Genomic DNA, 16,672 nt, shown 5'->3' on the forward strand with positions numbered 1-16,672 from the left:
AAAGAAGGCATGCAATAATTTCTTATTCAAGCCTTCATAGAAAACAAAGTCTTACTTGTGTGCTGTCAAAGTAAACCACAAATGCTTGGACAGATTCTGCAATCTCTGCAGTAACAAGAAATTTGTTTGGCACCACACATAGATTGATGTCTGCTGAATAGTATTTATTATCAATGGTCCAGGGATAAAATCTCACAGCATCATTGGAAGTCACTTCCACAATAAGATCTTCTGTTCCAAGGATATCTAAAAATAAATGACAACATTACCATGTAAAGTGCAAAACCAATATACATTGGTTGATTTTCTCAGTCAGATACCAGATAAAGCTGGTACTTTTGCTGTTTCCTTTTATGTGAGGATTTCAAAGGACCCTGCATTTATTAGCTTTAATCCTATATTCTCTGATCATCTGATTATAAAAGTTATGGTGATATAATTTAAGTCATTGACATTTTCTCTTTAAGAACACAAAAATCATTGTGAACTAGATTAGACAGTAGTAAAGGAAAAAACAGTCATATAACCAAATATCCAGAAAAGAGCAAGTAGAAGACAAAGAATGACAGCTCTATTTATTGTATTGCTTAAGTACTTCATAGGAGGTAGACAATAACAATCTTCTAGAATTTGTAACTATTTTGTACTTATTGCAAACTAAAAGGAAGATAGGATTAAGGCTAAACCATTAATAAAATAGAAGAGCTACATATATTTCTTGGACTGAATGCTTAGACATTAATTCAGCTAATGAAATAAAAGAATGGATACTGATAAATGACCCCAATCCTATTTATATTCAGCCTTGTTCACATTCTTTGAAAGCCAACCTAAATTCTTGTTTGATCAAGACACTTCCGATAAATTTTAAATGTGTAATAGCCAAGCAAATTACTATAAATGTTTTAGATTATAACTGAATCTTTTGGAAATCTATGTGCAGCATGTATATAACAGGAAATCCCCACAGTAAGAGACAAGTCAATGGTGAACAAATGAATATAGACATGGTTATGGAGCCATGGAAGCATTTTGCTTCCATTATGTTATACAGTATTTACAACTGGAAGAGAAGTTAGAAGTTGTTCCAACCTAAACTCCCGTCTCTCACACCCATACCCATAACCTCCACTTTATACAAATGTGGAAAATCAGCTTATAGAAGTAAAATGACATGCCATTAATTGACTTATCAGAAGAATATAATGAAAAACAGTCACAAACTCCTCGTCAATGCATACTAAGATGAACACGTATTAATGAAATGTGCCTCAAACTCATAATTAGCAAGACACTGAAAACTAGAAATTAAATTTTAACTCCCAGAGCTAACATTATATATTTGAAAAGTTGCCATCATTTTTGCTCAACATAAAGTTATGGGGAAATTATTTAGTCCAAAAGACTGCTAGGCATTATGTATAAAGTGTGTGTGTATGAATATATACATGCATGAATTCTTTTTATTAGTAAAGTTTCATCATGCAGTTAAGAGGAACGAATCTTCTGAAGAATAAAAGGTCGGCCCTTTTTTTAGCAAAAAAATTAAATTTAAAATAAATTTAAGGTTTTATTTTTGATATAAAGCATATCATGAAATTAACTTTTAAAATTTTTTCACCAAAACCAGAATTGTTACTCTTAAATTAACAGAAGGTCTATGTCAATATTTGACAATCTGAGTGCATCCCATCTCTTTAAGAAATCAGCAGTTCTTTCTACTTAATTTCTACCCGAAGTCATAATCTTTTACTTAGTGTCAGTCAATTCCATCGCAACCAGCTGCTATGTCCCTTATGGAGCATTAAGACAATTTCAGGGGAAATAAACAGGAGAAACAGGTAAGTTATTAAAATCAAAGATGTTGTTTTCATGTAAATGTCTCACAGAAAAACAAAAACTAGATCAAAGTCTACACTGTTACACTCCAAACTTCAAGAAGGTGGCATAGTAACACGTGGCTGTGTTTCTAAGAGCTGAATACTGGCACAGCTAACACACATACCACAATATGCTGATAAATACACATATAAAAGAAAGAAACTAAAACAAGGAGCAAAGCAAAAAAATGTATAAACTAACTTTTTAATGGTGAAAGGAGCCACCACATAAAATCAGTCTTAATTTTTTTTTTTTTTTGAGACGGAGTCTCGCTCTGTTGCGCAGGCTGGAGTGCAGTGGCGTGATCTCGGCTGACTGCAACCTCCACCTCCCGGGTTCACACCATTCTCCTGCCTCAGCCTCCCCAGTAGCTGGGACTACAGGCACCCGCCACCATGCCCAGCTAATGTTCTGTATTTTTAGTACAGACAGGGTTTCACCATGTTAGCCAGGATGGTCTCGATCTCCTGACCTCGTGATCCGCCCGCCTCGGCCTTCCAAAGTGCTGGGATTACAGGCATGAGCCACCATGCCCACCCATTCTTGGGTAATTTTTAAAAATAGCAAACTGAGTATTTTTTAAAGGAGAGAAGCACAAATAAGAAAATACAGTAATGAATTCACTTGTTGCTAAGGGGCAAAGTACAAAGGCAGGGGGACTAATATTCCTGTCATTGCTATAATCAGTTCTTGATATTTCCTAAATTGGTTGTATTGTTAAAAACTGATATCAAAAAATTGGGGTTATGCTTTCTTTGCTCCTCGACATGAGAAATATAAAATCACTTAAAATGGCATTACTAACTGCAATTTAAAATTACTAACTGCAATTTAAAATATTTAGATCCATTAATGATGGCTAATTTTATTAATGTTTAGAACACAAAAGAACAAAACAATGTTTGTTACTCAGAGTGCTTACAATTTCAATTTTATACTTTCATTTTCAAATGATTAAGACATTTACTTAACATGGAGAAAGAAGCTGTTTCTTTCTCTTTTCTCCAAACCTAGACAGGAATGGAACCAATAAGTTGGGAAAATGAATTTCACATTTCAGTGTTTCAGTAGCTAGTGGGCTTTGGTTTTTGTTTTATTCTCTGTGCTGCCTAAAACAAGTTGATAGCTCAATTTACTTATCAGATTTTTTTTTAACATTTTATGTCTAATCAAACACTTTCTTCAAGGCTGCATATGGACTTTATTATCACATCTGTGCCATATTAGAGCTAGGGAGAGAATAGTAAAGACTGTCTCATTCTAATTCTTATTACCAATATCATAATGTAGAGTTTAATTTAAAAAATGTAAATGTCTACACTAAATATAGCTTTCTTCCCTCATGTTTTCTATTTGATTTTCAAATGCTTAACAAGTTTATTCTTTTCCAAATTAAAATGAAATTATTCAAACTGTGCACATGGCTAAAGGTTTCTGGAGAGCAGCTAATATAATTCACTCATTTTACAGATGAGGAAACTGAGGCCCAGGAAAAAAGAAGCCACTTGCCTAATAGGAGCAGAGCCTAAAACTGGATTCAATTCGCCAACATTCTTTCCTACTACACCGTGATGTTACAATACTTAGCACCTGAGCTGGATCACACTTGAGTCTCTAATAATCACAAGCCAAAACTAGTCTATAGACCTAAAGGATCCTCTGCCCTTTTAGGAACACCAAAAATAATAGCCAGAATAGGGGCACAATTATATACGGATCTGCAGCACAATTAACCCATCAGAAAACTGTCTATGACATTCAGGTATTTATATGTCAAAGATGAGTCACAGTGATCTTGAGGTTTTTTTGTTGTTGTTTTTTTGTTTTTTGCCAGACTTCCTAGAAAAACCTGCAGTGGGCTCCCTTCTTTGTCCTTCACTAAATTATTATGTTGTAGACTCCGATATGCACAAAGAAAATCAAGAGCAGCTTTCCCCTCCTCCTGGTCGATGCCAGCCTGTCTCATTCACACTGTTGGCAGCCACCTGGTGGAGCTGTAATACATCATTTTTTAAGAGACAAACACTAGGTGTTTACTTGCCAGGTCTGTTACTACAAACTCCATTTCACAGCTTACAATAGTTAATTTGTAGTGCTTTTACAAAGGAAGTTAGATGCCAACCCAGTTCTAGTAGCAAACATAAACCTTTCCTTCAGTATTAAGTGCAAGTATAAACCTCTATCCCGATTTGAGAAACTTTTTACAAAGCCATCAATTCTCCAGTAACTCCCATTTACTTTCTCACATCCTTGGTCAACTTCTTTTCCCTATAATCTCATATGGTAAGTTACAGGAAATAAGATTCAAGAGCTTTGAAGGAAGCCATGTGCCAAGGCAACATTTCAGTTCAGTAATCCAACATCTTCCTCTTTTTAATCAGCTTTCTACTGTTCCCTGCATATCCTAATAATGATCCTTCCCTCAGAGAAAGTACAAATGTGGTAACCAATCAAATGAAAGAAAAGAGGCAGCTGGCTTTCTATGGTTCAGAATCAATAACAGGTGATACTCTCTTTAGCATGAATTAGAAGGCAACATGAAGTTCAAGGTGAATTCCCCAAACACCACAAATATCTGTTCTCCTACACACACACACACACACACACACACACACATTTTATCTATATATAAACATGCACACACACAACCCTTACCTTATGTCCTCACCTATCCACCTCAGCCAAAAAAGACAAATGCATTCTAAACTAGGCATGTTGATACTGTTATGGATTTTTTGTGTCTCCTTCAGTAGTAGGGTAATTAAGTACACTTTTAATATCAGTAGTAGTGCACTTAACCAATCATGACATTCTTTGTGAAGCAAAGTTGTCCAGTGGTTAAATCATATTTTCTATGCCCTGAGGGAAGTGACAGCTGCCACCTCAAATCAAGATGATCCTTCCGGAAACCAGCACTCTTCTCAGAATGCAAAGTTGGTTTTATTCTTTCTCATAAACTGAAACTGCCTTGACAGCCAAGCATCATAACCTCTCACCCCAGATATGAGTGTCTTTCATGGGATCCACTCTTCTGGAGACCCAACATTCTTCTTTCTTCCCTTTGTGAAGCCAGTACTAACGAGAAGGGAGAAGAGCATGGAAAATAGACAGCACAGACCTGGGGTCGGACAGGCCTGCATTTGCATGCTGGCTCTCTGCAAAGCCTTGGGCAGATTAACCTCTCGGTGTCTCATTTCCTTACCTGCAAATGGGGATGAGAACACTCCTCAAAAGGCTTAAATGAATTCAATGAAACTATGTCTAAGAAAGTGCAGGCACTGGGCACAGTAAATATTCATTTCCTTCTTCCCATCTCACTTTTTTTCACATTTGTGACAGCACTCCTGACTAGAGGTAGGTTACAGATGCACTGAGGAGTTAGTAAGATACATTACAATCAGGAAATAACCATCTCCTTTAAGCTGCTCTAGCCTTGCCCTTCCACCCCAGACCACCCCCTAAAATAAAGTTGAAATTTTTCTTTTCCACTGCTAAGGCATATGCTGAGACAGAAGAGAAGGCAATTAGGAAAATTATAGGAGGCAGCAGAGTCTGACGTCAGCTGAAAGGAAAAGTAGCTATTATGAAAGAAAAGAACTGAGCAAAATATGACTTAGGAAAAATTCAAAACCTAGAGTTTTCATTAACCAGCAAGCGAAAAGACAGACTTTTAAAAATCATATCGGGGCCGGGCGCGGTGGCTCACGCCTGTAATCCCAGCACTTTGGGAGGCCGAGGCGGGTGGATCATGAGGTCAGGAGATCGAGACCATCCTGGCTAACAAGGTGAAACCCCGTCTCTACTAAAAATACAAAAAATTAGCCGGGCGCGGTGGCGGGCGCCTGTAGTCCCAGCTACTCGGGAGGCTGAGGCAGGAGAATGGCGTGAACCCGGGAAGTGGAGCTTGCAGTGAGCCGAGATTGCGCCACTGCAGTCCGCAGTCCGGCCTGGGCGACAGAGCGAGACTCCGTCTCAAAAAAAAAAAAAAAAAAAAAAAAAAAAAAAAAAAAATCATATCGGATTCATACTGTTGCAAGCAATTACAATTTCTTACCCACAACTTCATGAGAATGTCATACAAGGTGGGTGCTGCTCTGTCAAATATTTTGCAGTAGTTGTGAAAAGGTTAGTCCCTAAATACTGAAAGTAGATTATACTGCTCCAGTGGAAAGGGACTTTGTAGCATGGTAGTATTTAAAGGTTAAAACTGTGCAACATTAGAGTTGACTTTACAGACAAATGTCAGGAAACTCATATCTGAGATTCCCTGTGTAATCATACCCCAGTCTTCTGGTGCAAGTTTATGCAGTATTTGTTGCAGTTTATATGACAGGTCGATCACTGGAGTAGTATGGACTTGCTGAGGTAAGAGTCACTGGAGTAGCATAGACTTGCTGAGGGAAGAGTAACTGGATTGACTTAAAGCAACATACTGCTTTAACAATAGTACAGAGATTCTGGGTTGCTTACAACATTTAATTACCTCTTCCTGACACACCCCTTTTCTCTGGTTACACTCTAAATTCGCATTTCCACATGCTCGTAAGCTTTTTATATCACAGTGGAAACATTTTAAAGCTGAAGCAGAGGAAATCCAACCCAGTCTTCCTCTTTTTCCTCAAGTTTACTTTCTCCCAATAGTCATCTGGAATTGGTCACCACAGCTTCATCTTAAAATAATTGGGGAAAGTCAGTGGGCAGGGGGGTTGTGGGGGGGTCTCTGCTTGCTTTTAGAAGACCTTACAATGCAGTCAGACACACACACAAGAACATAAAGAAGCCATCAGGAAAGGGAGAGAGAATATGGAGAAGGGTTTTATAAAGATTAAGCAGGAAACATCAGCCTCTAAGTTTTATGGGCTGCATGCAAAGACCACTTTGTCAATCCTAGTGTCACATCTGATGGACAATTCCTACCTATATTTTAGAGGGGTAGGGCACTTCTCTGAATTCCATTGCTAGTTCTAAATATACCCCTAAAGCAGTGGTTCTCTATGGGGATGTGATTCTCCCCAATCCTGCCAAGGGGACAAAGGTCAACACCTTTAGACATTTTTGGTCATCACAATAGGGGGATGCCACTAGCATCTAGTGAGTAGAGGTCAAAAATACTGCTAAACATCCATCCTACAACGCACAAGACAGCCCCACAAGACAAGGAATTGTCTGGGCCAAAAGATCAACAGTGCCGAAGCTGAGATACCCTGATCTACAGCAAAGAAACCTTATGGAATTTACTTAGCTGTATTCATGAAACAAAATAAAAGTTCTGGAATGCAAAATTGGTTTTATTCTTTCTTGAAGAGCTGAAACTAGTCATTACAGTCAGGCATCACAACCTCCTACCCCAGATAAAAATATCTTCCATTTATATCTAATAAAATCTATCTCTGATAAAGTCTATCTCAAGTGTCTTCTTTGATTATTAACCATAAAAATTATTGACAATTAACCTTAGAAACTTTGAAAATAATCTATGAATGGTAGATTTCTAGAAGAATTCATAAGCCTAAACAGGACAATTACGAGATAAAAATAATTTTCATATTCAAATGGTAATTTTTCATAAACAAATTAGCATGAAGTAATAAAACCTTACAAGAAATGTCAATGCTCAGGATGACAACATCTGCAGTAGATGCTAATTTACTCTAAAAAAAGACAAACATGTTTGAGATGAATTTCCCAAAACAGAATAAGTTTGATGAATAATGAAGAACATTCATTCTGTAGCCCCTGTACTCAAGTATTGAAAATAAGCTTGATCTGTTAGAAAATATCAGAAAGCTAACAGATCCAACGTCCCAGCATCCAAAGGAGGGTAAAATCATTATTGGGCAACAGATGGTCAACGAATCATGGAAAACAAAAACACTAATAAGTAAGACATTATTGAAAGTAAACATTGTGTTTCAAGACACCATCAAGAAAAACAAAACCCAAGCCACAGAATAGGAGAAAATGTTTGCAAATTATATATCAATAAGGGACTTGTAACCAGAATATATAAGAACTTTTTCATTAATAAGAAGACCAGAAAACCAATTTAAAAGCGGGCAAAAAAGAGCCAGGCACGGTGGCTCATACCTGTAATCCCAGCACTTTGAGAGGCCAAAGTGGGCAGATTGCTTGAATCCAGGAATGTGAGACAAGGCTGCCCAGCATGGTGAAACCCTGTCTCTACCAAAAATACAAAAAATTAGCTGGGTGTGGTGGCACACACCTGTAATGCCAGCTTCTTGGGAGGCTGAGGCACAAGAATTGCTTGAACCCCAGAGGCGGAGGCTGCAGTGAGCCGAGATCACACCACTGCACTCCAGCCTGGGCAAGAGAGTGAGACTCCGTCTTAAAAAAATAAAATAGTTAAAAAAAAAAAGTGGGCAAAAAAGATTTGAATAGACATTTCACCAAAGAAGATATTAAAATGGACTATATGAACATGAAAAGATACTCAACATCATGAGTTATTAAGGAAATGCAAATCAAAACCACAATGAGATACTACTTCACATCCACTAGAATGGCTATAACAAAAAATACTGACAATAACAAGTATTGTTATTGTCCAAAGATACGGAGAAATTAGAATCCTCACTTATGGGAATATAAAATGGTGCAGCCACTCTGGAAGAAAACAGTTTGGCAGTTTCTTAAAATACCAAATATAAATTTACCATATGACCCAGCAATTCCACTCCCAGGCATCCACCCAAGAGAAATGAAAACAGATGTCCCATGAAAACTTGCACAAGAATGTTCATAACAGCATTATTCACAATAGCCAAAAAGTGGAAACAATCCAAATGTCCATCAACTGATGAATGGATAAACAAAATGTGGTATATCCATACAATGGAATATGAAGTACATGCTACAATATAGATGAACTTCAAAAACATTATGCTACGTGAAAGAAGCCAGACACAAAAGACCACATATTATGATTCCATTTATATAAAATGTGTAGAAAAGGCAAATCTATAATGACAAAAAGTACATTAGTGGTTTCACGGAGCTGAGGAGTGACTGCAAATAGTCACAAAGTTCCTTCTGGGATGACGGAAATGTTCTACAATCAGATTGTAATGATGGTTGCACAAATCCGTAAATGTATTAAAAAACACTGAATTATACAATTAAAACAGGCAGATTGTATACTACTTATATTCCAAAAAGCTGCTAAAAACCACAGAAACTGGGAGATACTGACCCCATTACTAATAAGGTAGGTGAGTGAGACACATAATATTTTAGGTACTTAGAACAATGGATGGCACATGTGAACAAATCTGGTCAATATTCATGGAATGAAGTTAACTTGTTTAAAGTCAGATCGCTTAAAAAAGGATAGAATTCAGTACTCAATCCACAGATTTTTTTTCCCCCACAGAAATCCTATACAACCCCAGGAAAATTCAGACAGAACAGCCACCCTGTTACATCAAGATCACAGTGTTGTTTATTACCAAATGATCAAACATTTTCCTGATCTCAGCAGGCTGGAGTTTGATCCAAATACAGTGACACTTTTTTCCACTTCTGTGTCAAACCAGCCATCAGGTCTGTATGGAAAATTAAACTCTAAATAGGTTTTTGTTACTGAACCTAAAATATCATAAAGCCTCTTTAATAGTTTCACAACAGGCCAGGTGCGCTGGCTCACACCTGTAACCCCAGCACTTTGGGAGGCCAAGGTGAGCGGATCAGCTGAGCTCAGGAGTTCAAGACCAGCCTGAGCAACACGGCAAAACCCCTTCTCTACAAAAAATACAAATATTAGCCAGATGTGGTGGCATGAGCCTGTAGTCCCAGCTACTTGCGGTGGGGTCGGGGGGCTGAGGCAGGAGAATCACTTGAGCCCGGGAGGCGAAGGCTGCAGTGAGCCGAGATTGCACCACTGCACTCCAGCCTGCGTGACAGAGGAAGATCCTGTCTCAAAAAAAAAAAAAAAAATGAAAAAACAGTTTCACAACTGTCCTGGTCCATCTTAATCTATATCAATATTGACTCCTGAATAAGAATTATTAGAAACGTATTTGTGGTATCTGTGTGTACTGGCTCCAACATAAATACAATGTTATGTCCAAATTTAAAACAATTTTCATACCTTTGAGAGATGAAGCCTGCTAGACTTCCTGGGTCGAGTGGGGACTAGCTAAAGGATTGTAAACACACCAATCAGCACTCTGTAAAAACACACCAATCAGCACTCTGTGTCTAGCTAAAGGATTGTAAATGTACCAATCAGCACTCTGTAAAAACACACCAATCAGCACTCTGTGTCTAGCTAAAGGATTGTAAATGCACCAATCAGCACTCTGCAAAAACGCACCAATCAGCACTCTGTGTCTAGCTAAAGGATTGTAAATGCACCAATCAGCATTCTGTAAAATGGACCAATCAGCAGGATGTGGGCGGGGCCAAATAAGGGAATAAAAGCTGGCCACCCAAGCCAGCAGCAGCAACCCGTTCGGGTCCCCTTCCACGCTGTGGAAGCTTTGTTCTTTTGCTCTTTACAATAAATCTTGCTGCTGCTCACTCTTTGGGTCCGTACTACCTTTATGAGTTGTAACACTCACCGTGAGGGTCTGCAGCTTCATTCCTGAAGTCAGCAAGACCAAGAACCCACTGGGAGGAACAAACAACTCCGGACACACCACCTTTAAGAGCTGTAACACTCACGGCGAAGGTCTGCAGCTTCACTCCTGAAGTCAGCGAGACCACGAACCCACCAGAAGGAAGAAACTCCGGACACTCACAACGAGGGTTCACGGCTTCATTCTTGAAGTCAATGAGACCAAGAACCCACTGGAAGGAACCAATTCCAGACACACCTTGACCTTACAAAAAATGATTTTATATCAGATTGCATTATTTGTTGAGTATCATTATTTGTTGAGGAATTACTGGGGCATATTCCTAAAGAGAAAAGGCAGTAAGTTGTTTAAACCAAATGACCACTGCATACTTTCTAGATTTTTACCTTTTGCCATACAAAAACAAAGCAGTTAAATGGTCCAGAAATAAAAGTCTGATTCTAAACATGCTCAGAACCCTCCAGGATGATAAAATATTTTCTGTATCATAAGTGGTTTTGTACAATATGGGCTGATGTGTAATACTTTTCCACTGGTATTTCTCCTCCTACTCTCCGCCACCCCCTCATTTACGGTATGCCATTTAATGAAAGGACACCTTATAATCATTTCACACATCAACAATATCTAAAAGACTAGTCTAAAACTTCGCACGAAAAGTCAAATTCTCTACTCTACAAGTAAGGAAACAAACTGTATACCAATAGAGTCATTTTCATTTATTATTTAACTTATCACACTTTATCTACTAAGGCTTCAACTACCATCAAAAAATAAACTAATTGTAAACTGATTTTGAGAGCCATAGTTTTCATTTTAATAGTAAAATCACCTACTGCAATTTCTCCTACTGCTTGCTACCTGCACTCTGAATCCACACAGTCTAGTTGCTAAGTTGACCATATTTTACATGTATAGAACTGGAATTGAATCTTAGCTCCCCAGCTTTTGGGAACTGAACAACTTTGGGAAACCACAGCTTTACTGAACTTTAACTTCACATACACACATACTGGAATGTAATGTGGACATGTTTTTTTTAAGTCCCTTTGGGTCTGGAGAAAGTATGAACATTTATGCTTCTCCTCCTCTTTAGATTGATGACAACCTCCCTCTTTTAATAAACATAAAAATCAATCCTTCTTTTAATGTTGGTTGAAAAAATGTAAATATATTAAGTATCATAGCTAAAAACAATCAGTTCCCTCACCCCAGTCATCAGTTGAAATCACTGCCCTCATCTGACCATCTACTGAATCACTCTGTGATGACAACTCTAGGCCCTTGTGGTACATCTTGCTGGCCCAATCTTCCATTCTTTGAAGAAAATAAAGACATGGAAATATACAATCCAATCAAAGGCAGAATCCTCTTACCACAACAAAATAAGTAACTTTGCTTAAGTAAAAATTACTTATTCCCAGAGTAAACCAAAGAGTGCACTCAAAATACTTAAAGAAGCTACAGAAAAACACACATTTGAAGACTCAAGCTTTTATCCCCATTCTGTTGCTAGACAATGGTGTCAAAGCAGCACAATAGCCTCTACCTTTGAAATAACAATGTTCTCTTTAGTAAATTACTTCAAGATACTTTTGCAAGTATAGGAGTCTGACAGACCTAGAAACAAATTCCCAATCTTGCAGAAGAATGCATGTTTTCCAAAGAAGCAATGTCATGAATATGGCTGGCTTTCCTGTGTAACTCTCCAAGGCCTAGTTTACCCATTATATAATTGTGCTTTCTGGTTTTGCAGTTTCAGAAACCTGAGGACCGGAGGGTTATTTCTATGGGTAAATGCATGTGAATTTCAAACACAAAAGGTTAAATTTTCTACTCCATAACTAAATTTTCTACTCCATCTACTGCAACCTTAAAATAAGGCTTGATTCCTAAGTTTTCAAAAACTAAAAGAGAAAAAACATTAAGTCAAGTTAAGAAGCATTATATAAATCTTGCATAAAAATAAGTAACATAATAACCCAGAAATTTTTTTTTTTAAGACCGGGTCTCACTCTGTCACCCATGCTGGAGTGCAGTGGCGTGATCTGAGCTTACTAGAACCTCCACCTCCCGGGTTCAAGGAATCCTCCTGCCTCAGCCTCCCGAGTAGCTCAGATTACAGGTGTGCACCACCACACCCGGCTAATTTCTGCATTTTTAGTAGAGATGGGGTTTCACTATGTTGGCCAGGCTGCTCTCGAACTCCTGACCTCAGGTGATCAGCCCCCCTCGGACTCCCAAAGTGCTGGGATTACAGGCGTGAGCCACCATGCCTGGCCAATAACACAGAATTTTACATCTAGAAGAGATGTTAGAAATGATCTCAAATAACCCTTTATTTTTAATGTTAATCCTGTACGGTAAGAATCACCAATACATAGCATCTCTGAGTTCACTCAATTGAGAAAATAAAAATCCAGACACTGTTAGACTACCTATCAGGTATGCATAATGCTCTTTTTTAATATGTATTTAATTTAATACACATATTAAATAATGCTCCATTTATTGGTTTCGATGGCAACAATTTTTTTCCCCTCCATTCAGAATTAAGACTTTAATCATCCGAAGTGGCAATGTGAGCATATTTTAAAACCGTTTAGGGGTTAATCGTCTCTCTCATTGCTTACACCAGTGCCACCACCTTAAATTAAAATAGTTCTGACTGCTAAGGAATCTCAACACATTACATTCACACATTCCTATGCATATAAATCCTGAATTTGAACATATGCTCCAGCACCTGGGCAAGTCATTTAGTATTTCCAAAGCACAGTTTCTTCATCTGCAAAATGGACACAACCTACCTTCACAGGGATACAAAGACCAAACTAAATGTGAAAACATGTTTGGGAAGAGTACAGATATACATATAAATGCTTGCTATGATTATAAGAGCTCTAAATTTCTACATTTCACTAAAAGGAAGAATTTTGTTCAGATGTAGAAACTGAATGAACTACAGTTGCTGAGTTGGCATTACACACTTTAAAACCAAACAAGTTTCCAGGGACTTTTCTATCTAAAGTTCCTTCTAGGGAAGTAGAGTAAGATGTTAAAACTTACATATCTTCATTTTAATATTTTCACAGGTGGACCATACACTTTCTTTCTTTCTTTTTTTTCTTTACTGGAGACTTTGAGGCAGGGTCCCACTGTCACCCAGGGTGGTGTGCAGTGGCATGATCTCGGCTCACTGCAACCTCTGCCTGCTGGGTTCAAGTGACCCTCCTGCCTCAGCCACCTGAGTAGCTAGGATTATAGGCACGCACCACCGTGCCCAGCTAATTTTTGAATTTTTAGTAGAGACGGGGTTTCTCCATGTTGGCCAGGCTGGTTTTGAACTCCTGACCTCAAGTGATTTGCCTGCCTTAACCTCCCAAAGTGCTGGGATTACAGGCGTGAGCCACCATGCCTGGCACATGGAGGATACACTTTCTACATTCCTCTCAAGGGCAGGAACAGTATCTTAGGCATTATTTTAGCTGCAGTAACTGGAACAGAGACTGTCTCTGTGTTTAATAAATATTCATCAGAATATACTTTTCCAGAATAAAGTAAAACTTTTGTAAAATATATGTGAGGTGGAAAGAGCTCTGGCCATGGAGTAGATATTTGCTCTCATATCGTGTATTACAAGTCCCTCAAGCATCCTGAGGCTTCATTTCCCTTTAAAAAATCTACCCTGTCGCCGGGTGCGGTGGCTCATGCTTGTAATCCCAGCACTTTGGGAGGCTGAGGCGGGCAGATCACGAGGTCAAGAGATGGAGACCATCCTGGCTAACACAGTGAAACCCCGTCTCTACTAAAAAATACAAAAAATTACCCGAGCTTGGTGGTGGGCGCCTGTAGTCCCAGCTACTCAGGAGGCTGAGGCAGGAGAATGGCGCGAGCCCAGGAGGCGGAGCTTGCAGTGAGCCGAGATCGTGCCACTGCACTCCAGCCCAGGCAACAGAGTGAGACTCCGTCTCAATAATTAAAATAAAATAAAATAAAATAAAAAATCTACCCCGTCAGTAATGCCCCTTTTATCCGATGTCAGACATCCACCCAGAATACTGCAAATAAGGCCTTTGAGTGACAAAAAGAAAAAGTTTCTAATGAAGTCCATGCATGCACTTTATGCATAGTAGAGGCCTACTGATTCTTATTTTAAGTGCGTGTGTGTGTGTGTGTGTGTCTGTGTGTGTGTGTGTGTGTGTATTTGAGACAGGGTCTCACTCTGTCACCTAGGCTGGAGGGCAGTAGCACCATCACAACTCACTACAGCCTCGATCTCCCAGGCTCAAGCAATCCTCCCACCTCAGCCTCCCAAGGAGCTAGGACGAAAGGCACATACCACTATGCCCGGCTAATTTGTTAACATTTTTATTTTTATTTTGTAGAGACTAGGTCTCCCTATGTTGCCCAGGCTGGTCTTGAACTCCTGTGCTCAAGTGATCCTCCCGTCCTGGCCTCCCACAGTGTTGGAATTCCAAGCATGCACCACTGCATTTGGACTGTTTTAAGAATAATTCTAATAAGCTGTTACTTGGTTATATTTCCCACTGGTGGTTAAAAGCACTAAGATAGATCAGATGTCCAAAGAAAGAGAAATTGGAGAACCCTAAAGGTTTCTCTCGCTGATACATGAAGTAGAACCAAACTTTCCCAAAAAGGTAGATCCAATTCAATCCAAAACTATTCCACGGCCTAATATCACCGAACACTTGACAAAATATTATGCGGGCTCCATCTCTTACCTCAAAATTAGAGTCAACCTGTGATTAATTTAATCCCAGCTTTAATTATAGTCAAAGAATGAATGCTCAGCAAATACTTCATTTTAACGCTATCCACTGCTACCCTATTCACAACCTTGGAAGAAATTATAAGCCCTCTTTTATGGTTCACTTTTCCTTATTCAAGTAATCTGCTCACTAGCTGTTCTTCTTTTATTTTTTACTACACGACAGTAACGAGTTGCAATGGAAAGGTCATCTGATCTTAACCCGAACTGGAATTATCTAAGAGCATTTTATATACAGAGATAAAATGGATTATTTTACAGAATTAATTTTACCCCCAATAATGCTAATACACTTTACAGAAGTACAATGTTACTATTTGCTAACTACAGGTAATCAGCTACTTCAAGGCAGGGACCATGTTTGCCGATTGGGATCATTAAAGCACACAACAGAGCACCATAGCATTTAGAATAATTAATATTCCTGAGATTGTCTTGAAAAGACTTCCATGTATCGCTAATAGGATTCCTAATGCATGTAAGTCTTTTGGAAAGTTAGTTACATCTTTAAGAATCTTGAGCAAATTCTGGTTTATTCACTAGATGGATATATGTGAGAAACTAATTTTTGATAAATCTGAGGATAAGAACTGTGTATTTAAAAAATTTTTAAAAACAGAAAAAATTGTGTATTAAATGTAATTACAATTATTTCTTTTTAAGAAACTGCAATGGAAAAAAAGACTGGAAAGAAATGTTAGCAGTATTTGTAGTTGGGTAATGAGACTATGGCTATTTTCTTTTCTCTGTATGCTAAATTTTACTTAGTATGCACTAGTTTTACAATGAAACAATTAAAGAAAAAAGAGGAAGGAAGGAAGAAAAGAAGGAAGAAAGGAGGGAAGGGAGAAAATAGGAAGGAGCACTGCTTAAAGGTAAGAAAATGGCCTAATTAGACCAGTTAGTAACCACTTAGTTAAATGCTATAATTAAGCTTTTACCCTAGCAAGGAACTTTCTAAGTGATCACAAATGATAACTAAGTCATATAATATCTGCACTGAAGGGACATCTTACCTAATTCTGTCATTTGACAGGTGTAGCAAAGAAATTATAATTATACAATGCTTTACAGTTTACAAAGTGTGTTCAAAATGTCACATCATCTGTCCTTCAAATACTCCTGAAATAGGCTCATATGCCCCATTTTAAGGATCAGGAAATTGAGGGTTACAGAGATAGTAATGTGCCTTAATAATAATGTCTATGATTTATCAAATGTTTACTATGTGCCAGACTCGGGGATAAGCACAATCTTGCGAAAATTATCCCTATTTTATAGATAGAAGGTGAAGGGGCCGGGCGCGGTGGTGACTCACACCTGTAATCCCAGCACTTTGGGTGGCAAAGGCAGGCAGATCACTTGAGCCCGGGAGTTCCAGACCAGCCTGGGCAACATGGCC

The 16,672-nt window shown here is 38.4% G+C and overlaps 1 protein-coding gene across 6 annotated transcripts in view, besides 1 other annotated feature; it reads right to left on the reverse strand.

Annotated features, from left to right (window-relative positions):
- AAGAB (alpha and gamma adaptin binding protein) overlaps nucleotides 1-16,672 on the reverse strand; it is a 54,532-nt gene that overhangs the window by 35,908 nt on the left and 1,952 nt on the right. For all 6 annotated transcript variants that reach the window (XR_007064489.1, NM_001271885.2, NM_024666.5 and 3 more), the window contains exon 2: nucleotides 56-246. Coding sequence is in view for 3 of the 6 variants with exons in the window: in NM_024666.5 (NP_078942.3) it covers nucleotides 56-246 (191 nt within the window). In the remaining 3 variants the exon portion in view is untranslated. The remainder of the gene's footprint in view (nucleotides 1-55; nucleotides 247-16,672) is intronic.
- Nucleotides 4,306-4,395: an enhancer, noted in NCBI's record as "active region_9627". NCBI's record gives its function as "activates an Ori minimal core promoter by ATAC-STARR-seq in GM12878 lymphoblastoid cells {active_cell/tissue: GM12878}" and the evidence as "EXISTENCE:reporter gene assay evidence [ECO:0000049][PMID:35858748]".

Source organism: Homo sapiens, chromosome 15 (genome assembly GCF_000001405.40).
Source record: "Homo sapiens chromosome 15, GRCh38.p14 Primary Assembly".
Taxonomy (NCBI): domain Eukaryota; kingdom Metazoa; phylum Chordata; class Mammalia; order Primates; family Hominidae; genus Homo; species Homo sapiens.